Source organism: Homo sapiens, chromosome 1, assembly GCF_000001405.40.
Source record: "Homo sapiens chromosome 1, GRCh38.p14 Primary Assembly".
Lineage (NCBI taxonomy): Eukaryota > Metazoa > Chordata > Mammalia > Primates > Hominidae > Homo > Homo sapiens.
The window spans coordinates 229033084-229057828 of record NC_000001.11 but is presented as its reverse complement, the minus strand read 5'-3'; the positions used below and the strand labels follow the sequence as shown (position 1 = coordinate 229057828).

General features: G+C 41.3%; 1 pseudogene; it reads right to left on the bottom strand.

The window, feature by feature from the left end:
• On the bottom strand, positions 15097-15733 carry ISCA1P2 (iron-sulfur cluster assembly 1 pseudogene 2; annotated as a pseudogene).

Below are 24745 nucleotides of genomic sequence, written 5' to 3'. Positions count from 1 at the left end.
ACCTAACTAGCTGTGTAATCACTCATGAATTGTTTTCTGAGCACCTCTGGCAAGGTGCTGAGGGGGAAGAGGTGAGATGCTTGTCTTCTCTGGGGCTGGGGATGGAGTGAAAGATGCATGTGGCAGAGGCCACTTATGACCCAGGGAGTGCTGCTGCCATGATACCTGGGCAGCATCCGAGGGCCCATAATGGCCAAGTGTGCTGTAAGGGGGTCAAGAGATCACCGTTGAAGTTGGCAGCTGTGGGAGGCTTCCAGAATGGCAGATGGAGCTGGGCCTCGAAAGGCAGGTGGGATTCCAGCAGGTGAGGACGGAGGCTGGACCAGCACTCTCAGGGATCCATCGAGTGGTTTTTCCTTTCTCTGTTTCACTTGGATGCCCTTGATTCTCACTTCCATTTCCTCTCCTGGTTTGACCCCTGAACTACATCCACAGGTGAGAGGGCAGCCTTGACTCCCCTGTTCTGGGACTGGTTATTAGGCTTGGTAGGGGTGGAGAGGAGGGTGGCTTCCTCCCAGAGGCAGTAGTAATATACCCAACCGACACTCCAGCTTTCCTTAAAGGCATCTTCGCATCCCTTTAATGAGTTCATTTTTCCATTATGTAGCCTAGAGGTGTGTGATTGGTTAAAATTCAAAGAACTAGTATTTGGCCACCTTTTAGCACCATTTAGCAATTATTTCAAATATGTTCCTTTAGAATGTGCAGGTGCTTGTTAAGAGTTCTTTTCAGCAAAGATCCTAACACAACCGGAAAAGTCCTCGTGTAATATCCTGTTACGTTCTCTAGGTTGATTTTACATTCTGCCTATATGACTGAACACATTTCCAATGCAATTAAAAAATAGTTTGCAACAACTCAGTGGGTGCTGATGTGCAGCTTCCTCAGTTGCCTGGCCCATCATTTTCATCAGGTTACTCTTAGGGCGTTCTGTGACCCATAACACTAAGGCTATGTGACCCATAACGTAAGACCAAGGCCTGCTGGCCTATAAGGCAAGGTGCTGTTACCAGCTTACTTGATGCCCCTGGCTCATCTTAGACTTGAGGTCTCCTAACTCCTTGCTTAGAACACTTTCACAAGATTCTTTTGTCCCCTAAACAAAACAAAACAAAACAAAACAAAACAAAAAACAACCCAAAACCAAAAGCCTTGAGACCTCACTTTTTGATTTGAATTTTTATTTAACCTAATGTCCTTTTATCTCTTAATAGTTGGCTCTGGAACCCACTATGCAGCTGAATCCTCTTTCGTCAGCCCTTGTGTTTGTTGGTATAATTTGGTGTAAAGGAAAATAAAAAACTCTCAGGACCCCCGAAGTCCTTATGCAAAAGGGAAGGTTAAGCCTGGAGACGGAGTCACATAACACTCCCTTCCAAATGAAGAGCTGTTACCAGCATTATGTGGTTCCCCTCTGGAAGGTAAAAGTCCTCAGACATCTACAAAGGACTACCCCACAGACCATTCATAAGTAAATTCTTTGCTAGCCTCCTATAAATAAGCACATGTCAATTGTAACTTTGGATCTACAGTCTAAGGCTAGCGCCAAAAACTAGTCAGTTCATTCTGTATTGATAATGTGAGTTACAAGCTTATCTTCCCAGGTGCAGAACATAGACAAGATGAGACCAGTCATTCCTCCACCTACCCAGAGAAGTCTGCATAATCAGTTCTTCATTTACTCCCTTTTTTCTCTTCAAACATTCCCTTTATCTTATGTAAAATATAGATTTAGTGAGCACTAATTAAAGTCTTACAAGAATGTGACCATTTACCTTACTGCCTACCTGCCTGTCTTCCTACCTGCCTTCCCCCCTTTAAGGAAATGTACAAAGACTAAACCTTCTGAAAACCTTTTTAGAAAAAAACAGCCACAGATGTGTCAGTGTTTTCCCTGGATGCTCCCTCCAGCTGGCTTAATAAACCTTGATTGACTGAGACTTTTGCTTCAGTCACTCATTTCAGTTATCATCAGATTACATGAGAATATCACTGTGATATCTAGAAAAACAGCCTCTGCTGCTGTAGGAACCATGCTTGGAAGGTCTTCCTTCATTTTCAGTGCCTGCCTGCCCTTCTGCAGTAAAAATCACCTACTCTACCTGCCCTGGCACCTACTCCCCTAGCACCAGCCAAAGGATGCCCCGCTGTGAAGACAAAGCTGGAGTCCCCAGGAGGCATCTCCACATAGGTAGGGTGTTTGGAAGAGGTGGGGTCCTCGGGTCCCACCAGCCAGAGAAACATTCAGTTAAGGCAGAGCCTGGCGTGTGGTCAGGGAATGCTTTGCTGAAGAAGAAATCTCGAAATAGATGTGTAGGTGTAACTGAGTAACCCCCTTTTTCTAAGAGATAGTGAATGAGTTGTTATTATTATTATTTCTCTTCTTTTCTCTTTTCTCTATTTCTCCCTGCTCCCCACTTCCTACTTAGCCCTTCAGAAATGCAATTATAACTTTCTACCTCCCCTTCACCAGACACTCCCTACAGGGTGAGTTCATCTATGTGCTTAGAAGCTCTAGAGGGGGATTGTCTCCCACCAGAAGACTGCCTTGAGGACAACAGTCAATTTACAACTCAAGGTATACCTGCTACAAAACCCTCTCCCACCTGGAGAGTTTTGGCCACCTTTATAACCTAGCTCTACCCACCAAGACACCAACTTGACCACCTGGTAGATAAGGCACTGAAGGTAGTATGTGGACCCCTACCTGTTCACTTCCTGCCCTGCATGTCATTCATGCCAGGTCCCCTTTTGAAAGTGCCCACTTTCTTTTTATTTTATTTATTTATTTTTTTGAGACAGAGTCTCACTCTGTTGCCCAAGCTGGAGAAAAGATCTCGGCTTACTGCAGCCTCCACCTCCTGGGTTCAAGTGATTCTCCTGCCTCAGCCTCCTGAGTAGCTGGGATTACAGGCACGCACCACCATGCTCAGCTAATTTTTTGTATTTTTTATTAGAGACAGGGTTTCGCCATGTTGGCCAGGCTGGTCTCGAACTCCTGACCTCAGGTGATCCACCCACCTTGGCCTCCCGAAGTGCTGGGATTATAGGCGTGAGCCACCACGCTTGGCCAAAAGTGCCCACTTTCTGCTCCAAATTTGAAGTGGTACTCTTAAGGCAGGGAAGCCTGTACTTCTTCCCCTAAGCTAGTTTTGGAATAAAAAATCACCTTCTTTGTACCAGAGCTTGTTCTTGTTCACTGGACTCTGCAAGGGGCAAGCGACTGAACCTGTGTTTTGGTTACACAGGGAAACCTCGGCACCTTCAACACATTAAAAATACTGAATATACTGTCTCTCCTACTTCTGGGTCCACATCAAATTTACTTTCACATTTTGTTTAATTTGGGGAGGAAAGAGAAAAGGAAAGTAACCTTGGTGAGATCTTTTCTTATTGATCTATTTATTTATTCGTTCATTTACTCAATGAATCCACTATGTGCCACATGATTTGCTAGTAGTGAGCAGCAAGATGACAAATGATAAAAATACCATCTATCCATGCCCTTGTCAAGTTTGATGTCCAGCCAGAAGCCATCAGCATTTGGAAAAGTTTTTCTGTTATCACAGATGCTAGCCTCCCCCAGACCACATTGTGAGAAAGGTGAAATTTGACCTGGATGCAATTTCACTCTTTTCCTTCCTCTCTGTATCAACCTTCCTCTGCTACCTCACTGGGCCCGGAACCCTGTGGGATCTACTGGTGGTCTCTGTTTCTATAAGGACACGACTGACCTCCCAGCTCCCTTCTCTGAATCCCAACTCCTCATGGTCATGGGTCAGAGGGTAACTGTCCTTCCAATTCTATTGCCCTAAGGGATCACCACTGACTTGGTCTGAAATAATATCCTCCCTGACCATCCACTGTGAGAGGTGCCCTCTCAGCCAAGGTAGCAACTGATTATGTTTATAGAGATCAAAGGATTTAGTCGTAAGAATAGTATTTGATTTAGACATTGTTTTTGTAGCATTTCAAAAATGTGGAAATGGAAGCTGGGAGGGGTTGAATGGCCTGCCCAGGTCCACACAATTCATAAAGGGCTGAGGCAGGCATCAGATCCATATGTCTGACTTCACGTTCCCATCTTCTCCATCATAATACCCTGGATCATTGAGATGCTCATGTGAGTAGGCTCTTGCACCTGGAGAAAACTAGTCAAACTCCATGTATTGTTAAGTTTCTACATTTATATTTGTGTAGGGCTTCTTAGAGCCTGAACTCAACATCAGTGGTAGGCTTTTCAAGCCCTCAAATCACCCTAAGTGATGGTTACACACTCTGCTGGTTTTTAGACAATTGATTCCAATATGACTTCTTCCATAAGGGTAGTGGAGATGCAGAATGTGCAGGAGACTCAGGGTCCAGGAGCGGGAGTCAGGGTAATAGATGAAAGGACCCAATCAGGTTTGATCTCAAGACCTGCTATAAAATTAGCTATAAAATTACTAATAACATGGTGAAAGAATATGCTGAGCTGAGACAAGAAAGTCATTGAAAAAGGAATTGGCCTTGAACTTGGAGGAAGGCAGGAGAGAGATCTGATAGCCCTGAATGACAAAGAGCTGGTCCCTTGAGGGTCTTTCTCAGAGGGGAAGACCGTGGGCTGGATGAGTACTTCTGTTGAAGAGAAAATTTGTTCAGAAAAAGCACACTGGTTATATGACATGGAGTGAACTTCAATGACTAAGAAGAAGCAATGTGGGAGAGAAGATTTTTTGGGGGGAAAATGTAGTGAGTCTCCAGCCCTATGGCCAGTCTCTAGGTGTCTGGGGATAATCCCCTGGTGAAATTCACAAAACTGCAGCTGTCTGGACCTTGACACCAGAATTTTTGATTCAACAGGTCTGTAGGAGACCCAAGCATCTGAGTTTTCAGAAGGTTCAAGGTGATTCTGACACCCTCCAAGGCTGAAGAACTTGATCCAGCTTGTACTTCAGAGCTGGCCTTGGCTTGCTCTGTCAGCCCCTGTCCAAAAGTCAGCTTCTTCCCTGGCATCAGCTGAGGCCATCCCCTTTGAGTTGACTTTGACAGCCTTTGACTTCCCGAATAACAGAGAGCACTGGAAGAATTCTGAATATTTTTTATTTTTATTTCAGTAGGTTTTTGAGGAACAGATGGTGTTTGGTTACATGGATAGATTATTTAGTGGTGATTTCCGCAACTTCGGTGCACCCATCACCTGAGCAGTGTACACTGTACCCAATGGGTAGTCTTTTATCCCTCACCCCCCTCCCACCCTTCCCCCACCAAGTCCCCAAAGTCCATTGTATCATTCTTATGTCTTTGCATCCTCATAGCCTAGCTCCCACTTATAAGTAAGAACATATGATAGTTGATTTTCCATTCCTGAGTTACTTCACTTAGAATAATGGTCTCCAGTTCCATCCAGGTTGCTGCAAATGCCATTATTTCATTCCTTTTTATGGTTGAGTAGTATTCTATGGTGTGTATATATATATATATATCGATATATATACATACACATTTTCTTTATTCACTTGTTGATTGATGGGCACTTGGGCTGGTTCCATATTTTTGCAATTGTGAATTGTGCTGCTATAAACATGCATGTTCAAGTGTTTTTTCATATAATGACTTCTTTTCCTCTGGGTAAACCCAGTAGTAGGATTGCTGGATCAAATGGTGGACCTACTTTTAGTTCTTTAAGGAATCTGCACACTGTTTTCCACAGTGGTTGTACCAGTTTACATTCCCATCAGCAGGGTAAAAATGTTCCCTTTTCACCACATTCATGCCAACATCTATTATTTTTTATTTTTAAATTGTGGCCATTCTTGAAGGAGTAAGGTGGTATCACACTGTGGTTTTGATTTACATTTCCCTGATAATTATTGATGTTGAACCTTTTTTCATGTGTTTGTCGGCCATTTGTATATCTTCTTTTGAGAATTGTCCATTCATGTACTTAGCCCATTTTGATGGGATTTTTTTTTTCTTGCCGGTTTGTTTGAATTTCTTGTAGATTCTGGATATTCGTTCTTTGTTGGATACATAGTTTGCAAAGATTTTCTTCCACTCTGTGGGTTGTCTATTTAATCTGCTGGTTATTTCTTTTGCTGTGCAGACTCTTTTTAGTTTAATTAAGTCCCACCTATTTATCTTTGTTTTTGTTGCATTTCCTTTGGGGTTCTTGGTCATGAAATCTTTGCCTAAGCCAAAGTCTAGAACGGGTTTTCTGATGTTATCTTCTAGAATATTTTTGGTTTCAGTTCTTAGATTTGAGTCTTTGATCCATCTTGAGTTGATTTTTGTGTAAGGTGAGAGACGAGGATCTCACCTTATTCTCCTATATGTGGCTTGCCAATTATCCCAGCACCATTTGTTGAACAGGATGTCCTTTCCCCACTTTACATTTTTGTTCGCTTTGTGAAAGATCAGCTACTTGTAAGTATTTGGCTTTATTTCTGGGTTCTCTGTTCTGTTTCATTGGTCTATGTGCCTATTTTAATGCCAGTACCATGCTGTTTTGGTGACTAAAGTCTTGTAGTATAGTTTGAAGTCAGGTAATGTGATGCCTCCAGATTTGTTCTTTTTGCTTAGTCTTGTTTGGGCTATATGGACTCTTTTTTTGGTTTCACATGAATTTTAGGATTTTTTTTTCTAGTTCTGTGAAGAACAATGATGGTATTTTGATGAGAGTTGCACTGAACTTGTAGATTGCTTTTGGCAATAAGGTCATTTGCACCATATTGATTTTACCCATCCATGAGTGTGAGATGTGTTTCCATTTGTTTGTGTCATTTATGATTTCCTTCAGTAGTATTTTGTAGTTTTCCTCATAGAGGTCTTTTACCTCTTTGCTTAGGGATATTCCTAAATATTTTATTTTATTTTTTTGCAGCTATTGTAAAAGGAGTTGAGTTCTTAATTTGATTCTCAGCTTAGTCACTGTTGATGTATAGCAGTACTACTGATTTATGTACATTAGTTTTGTATCCTGAAACTTTAATGAATGCATTTGTCAGTTCTAGGAGCTATTTGGCTGAGTCGTTAGGGTTTCCTAGGTATACAATCATATCAGCGAACAGCGACAGTTTGATTTTCTCTTTACCAGTTTGGATACCCTTTATTTCTTTCTCTTGTCTGATTGCTCTGGCTAGGACTTCCAGGATTATGTTGAATAGACGTAGTGGAAGTGAGCATCCTTGTCTTGTTCCAGTTCTCAGGGAGAATCCTTTCAACTTTGTCCCATTTAGTATAATGTTGGCTGTGGGTTTGTCATAGATGGCTTTTTTGGTTAGCTAGTATTTTGTTGAGGATTTTTGCGTCTATGTTCATCAGGAATATTGGTCCGTAGTTTTCTTTTTTGTTGTGTGCTTTCCTGGTTTTGGTATTAGGGTGATACTGGCTTCATAGAATGATTTAGGGAGGATTCCCTCTTTCTCTATCTTTTGGAACAGTGTCAACAGGATTGGTATCAATTCTTCTTTGCATGTCTAATAGAATTCAGTGGTGAATCCACGTGGTCCTGGGCTTTTTTTTGTTGGCAGTTTTTTTTTTTTAATTACCATTTCAATCTCACTGCTTGTTATTGGTCTGTTAAGAGTTTCTGTTTCTTCGTGGTTTAATCTAGGAGAGTTATATATTTCCAGGATTTATCCATCTCCTTTAGATTTTTTAGTTTGTGTGCATAAAGGTATTCATAGTGGCCTTGAATGATCTTTTGTATTTCTGTGTTATCCGTTGTAATATCTCCCATTTCATTTCTAATGGAGCTTATTTGGATCTTCTCTCTTCTTTTCTTGGTTAATCTTACTGTTGGTCTGCCAATTTTGTTTAACTTTTCAAAGAACCAGCTTTTTGTTTCATTTATCTTTTGAATTTTTTTGTTTCAATTTCATGTAGTTATGCACCGATCTTTATTATTTTTTTTCTTCTGCTGGGTTTGGGTTTGGCTTATTCTTGTTTCTCTAGTTCCTTCAGGTGTGAGCTTAGATTGTCTATTGTGTTCTTTCAGACTTTTGGATGTAGGCATTTAATGCTATGAGCTTTCCTCTTAGCACTGCTTTTGCTGTATCCCAGAGGTTTTGATAGATTGTGTCACTGTTATTGCTCAGTTCAAAGAGTTTTTAAATTTCCTTCTTGATTTCATTGTTGACTCAATGATCATTCAGGAACAGCTTGTTTAATTTTCTTGTATTTGGATTGTTTTGAGGGTTTTCCTTTTGGAGTTGATTTCCAATTTTATTCCACGGTGGTCTGAGAGAGTACTTGAAATAATTTCGATTTTCTTAAATTTATTGAGACTTGTTTTGTGGCTTATCATATGGTCTATATTGGAGAATATTCCATGTGCTGATGAATACAATTGAATAATTATTAATTGTCCACTTAGCATCTCATAGAGCTGAGAAAGACGTTCCCAAAGCCAACAAAGCAAGTAGCAGCGAGGGGCTCAGAACAGGGCCTTCCTTTTCTTTTTCTTTTTCTTTTTTTTTTTTTAAGACAGGGTCTCATTGTGTCACCCAGGCCGGAGTGCACTAGAACAACCATGGCTCACTGCAGCCTCAACCCCTTGGACCCAAATGATTCTCCCACCTTAGCCTCCCAAGTAGCTGAGACTTCCGGTGTGTGCCACCAAGACTGGCTAATTTTTGCATTTTTTGTAGAGGTGAGGTATCCCTGTGTTGCTTAACCTGGTCTCAAACTCCTAGGCTCAAGTGATCTCCCACCTCAGCCTCTCAAAGTGCTGGAATTGCAGAAGTGAGCCACCGGACCCGGTGGGCCTTCCTTTTCAAGGCTGCCTCTGCCCACGCTCTCCTGCTGTCTCCACTCTTCACTCTGTCTCACTCAGATCCTTTTCTGGCTCTGAATCTCTCTTCCTTCTTTCTGCATTCCCCTTTCCACATTAACCTCCCACAATATGAATCTGATGTACATTAGAAATTATTTGCAGGATTTAACAAGCAAAAGTTTGCATGTCTTGTTCAGTCAAATATTCAATGAGCTTTTCCAGCTCTGTCAAATCCTCCTCACAATCAAATTAATTCCAGGTGGCCTTGCCTATAGGTCAAGACCCTCCAAGAGCAGCAGTCTCCTCACCGTTGAGTGAACCAAGGACAATGAGGTTATGGGTCTTGGTGGATGTTCTGCTTGACTCCCACTAAGCTGGTTTTATTTCTGGTACCTCAGTTTACCTACCTGTAAAACATAGACTCCCTTCAACAGGATGCAGCTAGTGCATGCCTAGCAGAGTGCCCAGCACATGAAAGGACACAAAAAAATAACAAAATACCTATTTTTCATGGGAGTAATAATACTTGCTAAGGGACACTGGGAGATTGATTCAGAGAACTCAACGTCATTTCCAAGGAAGAAAACTAGTCACAAAAGATAGCTTTGTGCTCTTGCCCATTCTGCCGAACTCCAGGACGTGCTTTCTTGGCTGAGGGCCATCCTTGGGAAGGGAGATGTGCTGAGATGTGCTCGTAGGATCAGACTTTATGGTTGCCAGGCACCTCCTCGTTCATTTCTGCTCTTGTCGCTGTGTGTGTGTAGCATCAGGGAGGGGAGGCAGGAACTAGGACCCCTTGATGGTCCCTCAGCCTCTTACCCCTCCAATGGCCAGCAGCAGGGAATGAGGATATGCTCACAGTGGACGATTATGCAAATAAGTACAATATTTTTATGGGTTCTTAGTAACATGGGAAATGTTTACGGTATGAATTTACATTTTAAACGCACACTCCCAAATTGCATATTATGCAGCATGAACTCCTTGGGCTGCGGTGGCCCTGGTGTAAGCCTATGAATTACCCAGTGCTGATCACCTGTGTCCTAGAGGGTCTGGTGACCTCGGGCAGAGGAGCACCCTGGGAGGTAACTCCCTGAAGGAAGAGAGCTGTGGTGGCCAGTGACTGGGGCCTGGAGGGAGGAGTGTCATCTTTCACTTGGAAGAGCTGGGTAGGAATGGTCCAAGAGCTAGTGCATCTCCAACTGAAAGCAGGAAAGAGTGCAGGAGGCAGTCCCGGCTCCAGAGCCCCTGTTCAAGAGGAAGGACCAGGGCACCTAACGGAGCTGGCACAGCCGTTGGCAATAGTGTCACCCTACAGAAGTGGCTTCTGTGCTGTAGTAACCATGTCTTTTGTTTTCTGATGCTTTAACAAATGGGGCCTTGCTTACCCTAGAGGGACTTGCCCCTGAGTGCACCTTTCACATGCAAACCAACCAATTCAAAGCCCACTCCCTACCCCCTCCTCTATCTGGGCTATCATACTCAGGGCTACCACCCACCTGCCCTCATCCAACACCTAGGGCCAGGTACCAGACAACTAGGGACAGCCTCTATGACCTGGCACATACTGAAATGATTCAAGCCAGCCAATCCTAAGTCTGCCTGCCCAGCTTCTCTGGTACTTCCCGCAGAAAGCTGCTAAATGCTCTTGCCCTTGTTTTCCTGTGCTCCCTCTGCCTCCTGACCAATGCTGGTGCCTGCCGTGTGGACCCGGGTGTCATGGCATGCTCCCTCCTCTTGGAACTGTGAGCAATAAACTCTCAGTTCAATGGCAGCTGTCTCCTCATCTGCCTTACTACACCTCAAATTTTCTACTAATATATTTTAGAACATGTGTCCAGAGGATGTAATTGATGCCCTGACAAGGCTGCTATAGGAACAGGAGCGTCCAGCTCAGGTCACGAGGGGCAGGGAAGCTAGGAAAGTGGAAGATGAACCAGGACAGGCTGCGGTAACATCTGAACTCCAGCACATGAGAAACCCACCCTGGAGAGCCCCAGAAAACAAGGACAGGCCACTTCCCAGAAGGCTCAGGCCCAACATGAGCAAGAGGAAAGTCAGTGGAATGGGTGCCAGGCTACGTATAAAACACAGGAGAAGTTGGCAGGGCACATGTGAGATGTGGTGTGTGGTGTGCTAGGGGGATCTGATGATGGGGGAAGGGGTTTTTTTGGGGGGGAGGGGGGCCTGTCTGTAGAGGGAAGATGAAATGAAACCATGGAATAGTGTGCCTGGCCAGGACCCACTCTTCTGATCCTGGCCATAACGAGAAGTCGAAACAGGAGCCTCCACAGCCAGAGGCAGGACTCAGCTCCCATTCGTCACTTGCTGATCAGCTTCACACCCGGGACTCCCAGCTGGAGAGACTTTCACTCTGTAAAGTCAGTGAGAAATCTCGTGTTGCTGAAGCAGATGTCCAGCCAGCTCCAGGAGGTACGGTGGGGCAGCTGTGTCAAATTAGCTGGGGAGGGCTCACACAGCTGTAAGACGGTGGCCGACGCAGGGCGTGGAAGGAAGAGGGGTTGCTGCACTTTCCCAAGCTCCCAGCTGGGGGAACGGGAACCAGGGTGGGTCCCAGGCTGGCTGTCCTCAGCCCCAGGCTGGGAGCTGCTGTGGAAAGATCCCTGCTTAGGCATCAGGAGACCAACAACCTTGCATGGTGACACCTGCCAGCTGACAACCTTGAGCACGCCATTTCCCTAGGTAGGCTGTGCTCCACTCCTCTGTGAAATGGGCTGGTTGTGGCTTGGTAACATTTTCCGACTCTGACTTGCGTGAAGTTTCTTTCCCCCATACTTCCCCTGACTCCAGCAGGGAGTGAGCTCAGAGCCCTTCGCCATTAGGGTAGCCCCTGTGAGGAAGGAAGAAGAGATGGGCTTAAAGTCTTCCCAACCCTACTTCCCAAAAGCCTAAGCCCCAGAAAGGGAGAGGATTTGTGGATGTAAACAAGACATCTCTACTAGAAACAGGGAGAGAGAGGCGGGCTTTTCTCACACACCAGAAAGATGTTCTCCATGAGGAAGATGAAAGAGGAAAGCAAGCAGCAACAGAAAGAGAAAAATCTCTATGAGGGGCCCTGTGGGCAGGATGAAGGAGGGCTTCACCGTGACACATGCAGACCACGAGGCTCCTGCCTGGTCCGATGACCCACAGCTGTGAACAGCCCTGCGAACAGGGACGTCCAAGTGGGAAGAGGGTGACTCAAGTAGAATTAAGTTAAAAATTTTATGATCTGGTGAAGTAAGCCTGAGGCAGCTTTCTGTACCCATTGAACACTAACTCCCCATTCTGCCTCCTCTTAACCCCCTTTCAACTTTCTATCTGCATTTGACTCCTCCAGGTACCTCATATAAATGGAATCATATAGTCTTTGTCCTTTGTGACTGGCTCATTTCAATTAGCATAATGTTCTCAAAGTTCATCTATGTTGTGGCATGTGTTAGAATTTCTTTCCTTTTGGAGGCTGAATAATGTTCCATCGTATGCATCCACCATAATTTTTGTTTATCTATTGATCTGTTGATGGACTTGGGTTGCTTTCACCTTTTGACTATTATAAACGAGGCTGCTATGAACATGAATGTACAAATATCTCTTCCAGTCCCTGCTTTCAATTCTTTTGGGCATATACCTAGGAGAAGAATTGTGAACTGTGTGATAATTCTATGTTCAAATTTTTGAGGAGCCACCAAACTGTTTTGAACAGGGGTTACATTTAACAGGGTTTTACATTCCCACTAAGATTCCAATTTCTCCACATCCTCACCAACACTTGTCACTTGTTATTTTGTGTGGTTTTTTTTTTTTTTGAATGTCATCCTAAAAAGTGTGACGTGGTATCTCATTGTGGTTTTGATATGCATTTCCCTAATGATTAGTGATGTTCAGCACCTTTTTATGTTCTTGCTGGACATCTGTATATATTCTTCAGAGAAATGTCTACTCCAGTCTTTTGCCCATTTTAAAAATAATGAGTTAATTTTTTTTTTAAAGAGGTGGGGTCTTTTTATGTTGTCCTTGCTGGACTTGAACTCCTGGGCTCAAGTGATCCTCCCACCTCATCCTCCTGAGTAGCTGGGACCACAGTTTGTCTTGTTCACCCATTTTTCAATCCAGTTGTTTGGTTTTTGTTGTTGAAATACAGGAGTTAATATATTCTGGATATTAATTCCTTTTTTTTTTTTTTTTTTTTTGAGATGGAGTCTTGCTCTGTCTCCCAGGCTGGAGTGCAGTGGCATGATCATGGCTCACTGCAACCTCCATCTCCTGGTTTAAGCGATTCTCCTGCCTCAGCCTCCCGAGTAGCTGGGATTACAGGCATGTGCCACCATGCCTGGGTAATTTTTGTATTTTTAGTGGAGATGGGGTTTCACCATGTTGGCCAGACTGGCCCCGAACTCCTGACCTCAGGTGATCTGCCTGCCTCGGCTTCCCAAAGTGTTGGGATTACAAGCGTGAGCTACTTCATCCAGCCTCCGGATATTAATTCTTTATCGATACAAGATTTACAAATATTTTATCCCATTCTGTGGTTTGCCTTTTTACTCTCCTGACAGTACCCTTTGAGGCAAAAAAGGTTTTTTGTTGTTGTTGTTTGTTTGTTTGTTTTTGTAGAGATGAGGTCTCACAATGTTGCCGAGGCTGGTCTCCAACTCCTGGGCTCAAGCAGTCCACCTGTCTTGGCCTCCCAAAGTGCTGGGATTACAGGCGTGCACAAAAGTTTTTAATTTTGATGAAATTCTATTTATCTATTTTCTCTTTTTGTTGCCTGTACTTTTCAGAAATCATTGCCAAATCCAAGCCATAAAGCTTTTCCCTGATGTTTCCTAAGAGTTTTATAGTCTTAGCTCTTACCTTTAGGTCTTTGATCAAGTTTGAGTTAATTTTTGTAAATGGTGTAAGGTAAGGGTTCAACTTGATTCTTTTACATGTGGATATCCAATTTTTCCAACACCATTTGTTGAAAACACTGTCCTTTTCCCAGCGAATGCTCTGCAAACCCTTGTTGAAAGTCAATCAACCAAATATGCAAGGATTTATTTCTGGGCTCTATATTCTGTTCCATTAACATATTTATGTATCCTTATGCCAGTGCTGCATTGTTTTGCTTTTGTGGTAGCTTTGTAGTATACTTTGAAATCAGGAAATGTGAGAGTTCAAATTTTCTTTCTTTTTCTCGATAGTTTTGGCTATGTGGGGCCCCTTGAGATTTTATATGAACTTTAGGATGAGTTTTTCCATTTTCGCAAAAATCACTATTAGGATTTTGATAGGAATTGCAACGAATGGAGATTGCTTTGGTTAGTATTGTCATCTTAATAATGTCAAGACTTATCATCTATGAACAAAGGATGTTTTTCCATTTATTTAGTCTTCTTTAATTTCTTGTAGCAATGTTCTGTTATTTTCTGTGTACAAGTCTTTTGCTTCCTTGGTTAAATTTATTCCTGACTATTTTATATTTTTTGATGTTATTGTAAATGCAATCATTTTCTTTTTTGAATTGCTCTTTGTTAGTGTATAGAAATGTTACCAAGTTTTGCATGCTGATTTTGTATCCTAAACTTTGCTGTATTTGCTTGTTATTAATAGCTGTAACAGGTTTTGTGTGTGTATGATCTTCTGCATATAAAATCATGTCAACTGTGAACAGAAGTGGTTTTATTACTGCTTTCCTTTCTTCCTTCTTTTTCTTGCCTAATTGCTTCAGTTAGAACTTCCAGTACTGTGTTGAACATACGGCCAAAAATGGGAACCCGTGTTTTGTTCCTGATCTTAGGCTAAAAGCTTTCAGTCTTTCACCATAGATTATGATACTGGTGGTGCACTTTCATATATGGACTCTACTATGTTGGGAAAATTTCTTCCTACTCCTTATTTTTTGGGCATTTTAAAAAAATCATAAATGGGTATTGAATTTTGTCAAATGGTTTTTCTTCATCAATTCAGATGACCATGTGGGGTTTTTTTTCTCTTCATGCTATTAATGTGGCATATTACATTGATTTAGTGTCATATGTTGAACAATTCTTACATTCCAAGAATAAACCCCATTGGTCATAGCGTATTTTTTTTAATATGTTGCCAAATTTGGTTTGCTAGTACTTTGTTAGGCACTTTTGTGTCAATATTCATAAGGAATATTGGTCTGTAGTTTTCTTGTAATTTTGTTTTCTGGCTTTGGTATCAAAAGTAATGCTGGCTTTATTGAATGTTAGGAAGTGTTTTCTCTTCAACTTTTGGGAAGAATTTGAGAAGCATTGGTATTAATTCTTCTTTAAAAATGAGTAGAATTCACCAGTAAAGCCATCTGCTTCTAGGTTTTTCTTTTTTTTGTTTGTTTCATTTTCAAAATGCATCACTTTATTTTCCTTATAAGGCAGCCGCACATTAAGCATGTGACAGTCACGTGATTTCTTCAGTGAGCCCCAAGGCTTCCACGAGCTTTCCTGGAGCCTATGGCCAGAAGAGTCCTGAGATTTCAAATATTAAAGGTTTCTCGACAGCCACAAGTTCCTTTGATGTTTGGGTTATTGAACAAAAACTCACTGGATAATTTGTCTTCAACATAGTCCATTTCTGTTCCTAAAAGTGTTAGCTGGGCTTTCTTTTCGATGAATACTCTGACTCCATCTTGAATAACTTCTTCATCAGAATCTCCTTTTGTCTTTGTATATTCTACAGTATAAGAAAGGCCATTACAGCCCCTGATTCAGACACCAGCGTTTACACCTACATGCTCAGGCTTATCTTTAAGAAGTTGTTTTATCTTGTTTACTGCTGAGGGTGTCAGGGTGAAGGCAGCCCCGTTGGGCTGCAGTTTCCTCTTTCTAGTTTTTTTAGTTTTCCTAGTTTTTCTAGTTTTTTAGTTTTTTTAGTTGCCCAGACTAAGGAAGCTGACATCTTCGCCGTCCTGGAGCCCTGGTGCCTCGGAGCCCGGCCGCCTCAGCCTGTCCCCATGGACACGGTGGGCGCATTCCTGGGCTTTTCTTTCTTGGAGGTTTTTGATAAGCGATTCAATCTCCTTCCTAGTTATACATCTGATCAGATTTTCTATGTCTCCCTGAGTCAATTGTGATAGATTTTATGTTTTATAGGAATTTTTAAATTTACTACTTTATCCAGTTTGTTGGTGTATAATTATTCATCGTATTCTCTTTTAATCATTTTTATTTCTGTAAAATTGATGGTAATGTCCCCACTTTTATTTCTGACTTTAGTTATTCGAATCTTCTCTCTTTTTTCCTTAGATAATGTAGCTAAAGTTTTCTCAATGTTGTTTTTTTTGAATAATCAACATTTAATTTTGTTAATTTTCTCTATTTTTCTACTCTCTTTTTAAAAAATTTCTGCTCTAATCTTTATTATTTATTAATTATGTTCCTTTTGACAGCTTTGGTTTTAGTTTATTCTTCTTTTCATAGTTTCCTAAGGCATAAAGTTAGTTTGTGAATTTGAGATTTTTCTTCTTTTTTAATGTAAGCATTGAAATCTACACGTTTTTTCCTAGCATCACTTTTACCGAATCCCATAAGGGATTTTTAATTATAATTTTTTAAATTTTAGATTCAGGGGATACGTGTGCAGGTTTGTTACAGGATATTTGTGTGGTGCTGAGGTTTGGGCTTCTATTGATCCTGTTATCCAGATAATAAACACAGCATCCAATAGGAAGCTTTTCAGCCCTTGCCGCCTCTCTCCTCCTCTCCTTTTGGAGTCCCTAGTGTTTGTTTTTTCCATCTTTATGTCCACGTGTACTCAAGGTTTATTTTCCACCTAAGTGAGAACATGAGACATTTGGTTTTCTGTTTCCGCATTAATTCACTTAGGATAATGGCCTCCAGCTGCATCCATGTTGCTGCAAAGGATATGATTTTATTATTTTTAATGGCTGCATAGTACTCCATAGTGTACATATGCTGCATTTTCTTTATCAAATCCATGATTGATGGGCACCTAGGTTGATTCTGTCTTTGCTATTGTGAATAGTGCTGTGATGAATGTATGAGTGCGGGGGTCTTTTTGGTAGAATGACCTATTTTCCTTTGGGTATATACCCAGTAATAGGATTGCTGTGTCAAATGGTAGTTATATTTTTAGTTATTTGGGAAATCTCCAAACTGCTTCCTACAGTGGCTGAACTAATTTGCATTCCTACCAACAGTGTATTTGCAGTCCCTTTTCTCTGCAGCTTCACCAACATCTGTCATTTTTTGAAGTTTTAATAATAGCCATTCTGACTGATGTGAGATGGTGTCTCATTGCGGTTTTGATTTGCATTTCTCTGATGACTAGTAATGTTGAGTATTTTTTCATATGTTTGTTGGTCACTCATACGTCTTCTTTTGAAAAGTGTCTGTTCGTGTCATTTGCCCTCTTTTTAATAGGGTTATTTGTATTTTGCTTGTTGATATGTTTAAGTTCCTTACAGATTCTGGATATGAGTCCGTTGTCAGATGCATTGTTTGCAAATATTTTCTTCCATTCTATAGGTTGTCTGTTTACTTTGTTGATGGTTTCTTTTGCTGTGCAGACTCTTTAGTTTAATGAGATCTCACTTGTCAATTTTTGTTTTTGTTGAAATTGCTTTTGAGGACTTAGTCATAAACTCTTTGCCTAGGACAATGTCCAGAAGTGTATTTCCTAGGTTTTCTTCCAGGATTTATATAGTTCAAGGTCTTACATTTAAGTCTTTAATCCATATTGAGTTGTTTTTTGTGTATGGTGATAAATAGGTGTTCAATTTAATTCTTCTGCATATGGTTAGCCAGTTCTCCCAACACCATTTATTTAACAGCGACTTTTCCCCATTGCTTACTTTGGTTGATTTTTTTTAAGATCAGTTGTTTGTAGTTGTGTAGCTTTATTTCTGTGTTCTCTATTCTGTTCTGTTGGTCTATGTGTCTATTTTTGTGCCAGTACCATGCTGGTTTGGTTACTGTAAACATATATACTTTGAAGTTATGCATCCCGTAAGTTTTGATATGTTGTATTTCATTATCATTTATCTCATTTCTTTCATTACTACCTTCTTTTGTATTTAGTTGATTTTTTGTAGTGATACATTTTTATTCCCTTCCCATTTACTTTTGTGTATATTCTATAGATATTTTCTTTGTGGTTACCATATGTGGTTACCATATATAACCTCCTAAAGTTATAACAATTAGATTTAATTACCACCAACTTAACTTCAATCACACACAAAAACTACTCCTACATAGCTTCATCCTCCCCTTCATGTCATTAATGTCACAAATCATACATGACATCTTTAAACATTGTGTGCTCAATAACATAGATTTATAATTATTTTATCCCTTCTTTTTTTAATCCCAGTAGAAAATAAGTTCAAAATTTTAGAAATACTGGCTTTATACTTGCCCATGTATTTACATTTACAGAGATCTTTATTTCTTCATATGGCTTTGAGTTACTGTATAGTTTTCTTTAATTACAACTTCAAGGGCTCCCTTTAGCATTTCCCATAGGATAGGTAATGAACTCCCCCAGTTTTTGTTTATCTGGGAATGTCTTAATTTCTCATTTTTGGAAGACAATTTTTATGCATATAAAATTCTCATTTGACAGGTCACTTTCCTTTCAACACTTTACGCTATCTGTTCATTGCTTCCTGAGATCCAAAGTTTCTAATGATAATTCTGCTGATAATCTTACGGAGCATTCTTTGTATGTTATGACTTGCTTCTCTCTTGCTACTTTCAATATTCTTTCTTTGTCTTTTGGCAGTTGATTATAATGTGTCTTTGTATGGTTCTCTTTGAGTTTATCCTACTTAGAGTTCATCAAGTTTCATGAATTTGTGCATTCATGTCTGGCATCAAATTTGGGGAGTTTTTAGCCATTATTTTTTTCAATTTTCTTTCTTTCCCTTCCTTTCTCTCTTCTCCTTCTGGAACTTCCCTAATTTGTGTTTGTCCCACAAGTCTCTTAGATTCCCACGAGTCTCTTAATGGTGTCCCACAAATCTCTTAGGCTCTGTTCACTTTTCTTCATTCTTTTTTCTTTCCATTCTTCAGACAAGATAATTTCAATTGTCTTGTCTTCAAGTTCATATATCTTTCTTGTGCCTGTTGAAATTGAATCTGCTGTTAAATACATGTAGTGAAATTTTCATTTCAGTTATTGTACTTACAGTTCCAAAATTTGTTTGGTATTTCTTAAAATTTTGGTCTCTGGTAATATTGACATTTTGCTCATCTATCATTTTTCTGATTTCCTTTAGTGGTTTGCCTGTGTTTTCCTTTAGTTATTTGAGCATCTTTAAAACAGCTGTTTTAAGGTTTTTGTGTAGTAAGTCTGATGTCTGGGTTTCCACAGGGTTGGTTTCTGTCAATATCTTTTTTTTTTTCATTTTTTACTTGCGTGAACCATGTTTTCCTGTTTCTTTGTATACCTTGTGTTTTTTGTAAACATTGAACATCTCACTGTTACAATGTGGTAACTCTGAAAATCAGAATCTTTTCCTTCCCCAGAGGTCACTGTTTTTTGTTTGTTTGTTTGTGTTTTTTTTTTTGTAAAAATTGTTGAAGCCTGTGGCATCAATGTCTGAGAGTTTTTCAGACTGTTTTCCCAAGACTATTCCTTGTCACATGTAATCACTGAAGTCTGTATTCCTTTAGTTTGTGTTCAGCTAATGCTTTGACAGAGATTTCCTTCAATCCTAAGGGCTCTTGCAGTCTTTTCAGATAGCCTCTGTACTAGAGCACTCTTTCAAGACTAGCGAGGCTTATTCAGACCCTAGGGATCAGCTTCAGGTAAAGCCTAAGGCTTTCTTCAGACTTTGTGAGCCTGTGTCTTGCCTGGGCATGCACATGGCTTTCTAAATTCTCTCGTAACAGCTGCTTTTGAGTGTCCTAATTTCCCAAAGAGTCTTACTCCAGCTTCTCATCTGGGCCTTAGATGGTCTACTCTATGGCTCCACTCAAAATCTCTTGCCCAGGCCATGAGCCTATAGTGATCTTGCAGCTTTTATTAACAGTGTCCACTTATTTTTCCAGCTGTGTTCTGAGTTAGGTAACACAGATTAGTGAGTCAGTCCTTCACTTATCTCCCAGACAGTTTAAAAGACATGTATATAATAATTCGCAAGTAATATCTGCTCTGATTCTTCCAGTTTACAAGGAGGAAATTGGAACAAGGCTGGCTGCTGTGTTTCAAGACAAAGACTGCTGCCACACCGGGGAGAGGATGGGGCCAGGGTGAGTTAAAACACAAAACTTCCCTGCCATTTTGAAGATGACTTTTTCTTGATTGGGCCTTCACTTGATTGCTGTAAACCTTTAACTGTTTTCCAGTGCTGTGACAAAATTGGTTCAGAAAGTTTCTAGGTTTTAAAAAATTCTTCTGTGGGGAAATGCAAATTAGGAGCTTCCTAGTCTATCATTTTGCTGGTATTCCAGCACCAACAAAGTCTTTAATCATGTGTATTAACACATAGATATTGTCATATCTATTTCGTCTGAATGCCTCCTCAGATCTTTGTAACTGAGAATAACGAAGAGAACGTTATTCTCAGATACAAAGGAGAACGAAGTAGAAAATGTATGATTTATGAGGAGAAACATCACAAATGTATGATTTGTGAGGAGAACGAAGTAGAGAATAAACACATAAACCCTTGGACAGGCTGCTGTGTATCCTGGGACCATCTGCAAGGACACTCTACTGCAGGTGCCTGATCAGACTTCAAACTGATATTTTTGTTGAGAAGTTGAAAGAGGGAGATTGTAAACGGGCCCAAAGTCCTTCTGGAGAAAAACTACTGTGAGGGTATGTCTCTCCTTTCCTTGGAAACTTTACTCAAAACCATTTAAAATTCTTCACAGCTACTTTACCAATCTGGTGGAAACTTCGACTTTAGTGTTATTATTTTTTTACCCATTTGTGGTGTAACACACATGTATGTATGTTACGAAGTGGGCAGAGGGGGGATGACTAATTATTTTTCCTTGTCCAAAAGGGCAGAGAAATTCCCCTCTCACTCTGTTACTCCCCCACATTGATCAATCCCCTCTTTACCTCCCACTTTAAAAAACTCAGCACCTGGCCTCATTATTCCCTCTAAGGAGCTCACAGTTTGGTGAACTCCTTCCAACACCCTCACAATCTCTTGTGGGGCAGGTCTTTCTACCCACCCTTCCTCTCCTGCTGGTTTTAGATCTAAAGGGCTTTACATTTAGGATCAGCCTTCTAGTTAGTTGAGGAACTGGAGAGAGAACAGAGCTTGGTGGCTTCCAGTTGGCTCCAGTGCCACCTGAGTCCAAGTCAATTAAATTCCCACCATGACCAAGGATGGTGCCCAGAACTTTCCTTTTGAAATGTGTAATGCAGAGAACCCTGAGAAAGTTGCAATGAAGGAGGAAAAGTCAATCAGATGGGCTCCACCTTTCCTGTCATTCCTCTTTTCAGTGCCCCATCTGCTGCCAAGTAGCAATTTGGGAGCTTTTGAAAATGAGTTTTAAATGGAAGAACTAATGGAAGAAAAAGTAGACAAGGAGAAGGGGTAAAGGAAAGAGGATACCCTTTCTAACAGGTAGCTACTCTTTCCTCTTCACCTGACCTTGTGAGACAGTGAGACCAAGGAGTTTCTGGGGTCACACTTGGGCATTGTGGCCTGAAAATCAGACAGACATGGAGTGGGTGTGTGAACCATTAAAACAAGTGAGAAAAAAAACTAAGCTGGCAGAGGACAGCTCCCAGTGCTGTGGGAACACACTTCCCAGATGAGGACTGGTCGCAATGACTACTCGCAGGACCTCAGTTTGTATCTTTCAGTCCCAGTCCCCCAGGGGAATCAGAGGAGGGAAGGAAACCTCCCTAAGATGTCTGTCTGGTCAAGGCTGCAAGGCCTTCCGGTTTGCAGTTATGAAACAAAGGCATTTAAAATGTTCTCTCCTCACTTTCTCTGAGAGCCAGGATCTCTTTCCTGGGACTATGGGAAAGAGGAGCTGCTCCAAGCCCAGAGGATGTGCACGATTACCAGATGGCAATGACAACTGGGAGATTTTTATTTGACTTGGTCCCACTTTCCCATTTCACAGGTGGGAGAGCAGGCTCAGAGAGTGAAGTGGTTTTTCCAATTTTGTAGAGTAAACGTCTGTTGAGATGAAGGCCAGACTGCTGATAGCAGGCCAGCCATGTATGCTGTCTGATTAGTGCATCTATCTTCCCCTCTACTCCTGTATCTTCCCATACACTAGCTCCAGTCAAATGAATTAGCTATGAGGTCAACAAACCCATGCTTTGCCTTCCTGCAGAGTGAACAAGGTAGGGGCACATCTCCATCAGAAAACAGGGCAAAACCTCCTGGTTTAATCAGGCTGACTTTGGTGCACAATCTCAAGTAAAGGGTGGAGTTGTTTCCTTTTCTTTGGTAGCTGATGTTGTCTTTGCAAAGAAATAAACCAAAAAAACCACAGGCAGAACTCCTGCTAGTATGTCAGTGCTTGCTTGACCGACCAACCGATTCATACACTGGTCTGGTTTGGCTATTTACATGTGTAAGGTCTTTCCCCACAGGATTGGTATACAGACAAGTGGGTTTGCAAATCCTAGCTCCTCCGTGTGTGATGGAAGGATTTGGAAATCCCAGTTGGGGTGTTCTGCTGTGAAAAATTTATCAAGGTAGGACTATGTCTAAACATTTAACTCTGAAAAAGGGGCCAGCAAACAGAAATACCATATGTGAATTTCCTGTTTGTTCCTTAGCTCAAGATTATTGGTGGTTTCATCCTTACTCCACAGTACACCCCTCCCATCACTTTTTCATGGTCATTTAAGTACAGAATTAGTCAAAACTGATTTAAAAATTATGACTCAGAGCACGGCGCCAGCTACCTGGGTGTGGGACAGGGTCCTGCACTTGGTTTAATGCTTGGATGTTGCTGTCTTGAAATTCTTAGTCGTTTTTGGACAAGTGCCTATATTTTCATCTACCACTGGGCTTTGCAAGTTATGAAGCTGGTCCTGTTGGCATATATGACTTCCAATTTCAGCTCAAACTTGTGTTGTGACTTTGGCCAAACTTTACTCTTTTTGAGACTCTGTTTCCTCATCTATACTCGCCACAAGGGCAGTGGCTGCAGTAGTTATTTACTACTAAATTCTCAGCCCTTACCATGTGCCTGACACAGGTAAGTGCTCAATAAATACTTGTAGAGTAAATGAATTAATGTCAAAGAAAACCTGCTGCTTAAAATTTGAGAAAGGATGCTGAATTACAGAAGTACATTTCTTAAGAGCTATAAAGAAAAACATATTGAATGGCCATTATGAAATAATGATGATGGCAATATCACTGATCATCTATTTCCTGATGGCTACTCTGGTAATTTACTAAACAGTGGATATGGAGAAAAGAAAACAGCCTTCAGTAGATACAGCCGGGACTGATGCCAGACATCTCATTGAATCTTATAAATTCTTCATCTTTACATAAGCGTGCATGGAAAAAGACTTCTCAAGCCATAAAGAAAGCTACAAAGAAAGCTCTGGATATTGCGTTTCAGGCCAAGGTCTAGTTCAAATGCAGTCTGGGAAAAGTCCCATTTGGAAAAGCTGTCTGCTTGCATAATTTTATTCCCCATTAGTACTTTGGTATCACTCAAAACACAGGCAGAACTAAAAGCTGGGCCTGGAAAGTAAGAGGACTTCTCATAAGGATGCCTCCAGGCAAAAGTGTGGGTTTGGACTGGATAAAAACTAAACATCAGCTCCAGCAAATCTGGGAGGCATTTGGTAAATGGCTGAATTGGACCCTGCCTCAAGACTTCTTGATTATTTTTTCTGCTCCCTTTCCTGCCCCAGGGTGTGTCTCAGAGACGGAATTCAGGGTGAGCTTTTCTCCTGAGCTGCTGGGGGATGTGGGCACAACCCCACCTGAGATGTGAGCATGGAGCTCTGGTTAAAGCATCCAAGCTTTTGAGATTCAGGGCTACAGTTAGAAGGGGAGGTCAGAGATCACAGTAGCTACTGGTTATTTCTCACTTACCAGGTGTCATAAGTTCTTCATGTATATCATGTTTAATCCTCAAGACCCCTAAAGGAGCTATTATTACACCTGTTTTAAAGGTGTGGAAAATGAGGCTCAGATAGGTTAAGTAAGTTGACTTAGTTGATGCATTTATTAGTGGTAGATCCAGGATTTGAACACAAATTGCTCAGGGTCTAAAGTAAGTGCTCATTCTCATCTACGACTTGTCTCTTTGATTTTGGGATTGGCTATGGCTTGCCAATGGAATGTGGGTGGGCATGATGCGGGCACTGGCTCTAAAAGTGCTTGCCATGAGAGCATGAGTAACCACTGCCCTTCAGGCTCAGCCCCAGCTGGGAGATGTGAACAGACTGGAGCTAGCTGTGAAGCTAGAGAATCTCTGAGCTGTGGGGTCGTTTGTTACACAACACCATTGCAGCAATAGCTGATTAACACAGCTTGTTTTTTCACTGGGAAAAGACAATCAAGATGATATACGTTTCAATTCAATAAATGTTTATTGATTACTCTATGCCAAGTACTGGGCTTGGTTCTAGGGAACACAATAATCAATGGATCAGACACATGCTTCCTTAGTCTCGTTTGCTGATTTATCCTTCCCTACCTGACTTTCAAATGTTATTGTGAAGGTTCCATTCTAGACCCTCATATGTCTCTATATTCTTCCCAAATAATCCCATCCATCTATGTCCATGCCTTCAATTCCAACCATATCTGTAGCTCTCTCTTTCTTTCTGAGCTCTAGATTGGCATAGCTAATCCAATTTTAACTGTCTGCTTTCCTTTGCCACTGGGCATCTACAGCCCCTTTCAAGCTCAACAATTCCCAGACTAAACTCATGCTCTTCCTCCCCCTAATTTGGGTCATCTCCTGTCGGTAACCACAGAGGAAGTCCTGTCCCCATTATCTGCTGTCAGGGTAACTCATACTTGTCCTTGGTAGGGCTTGCCAAGGTTAATTAATTAAATGCAAT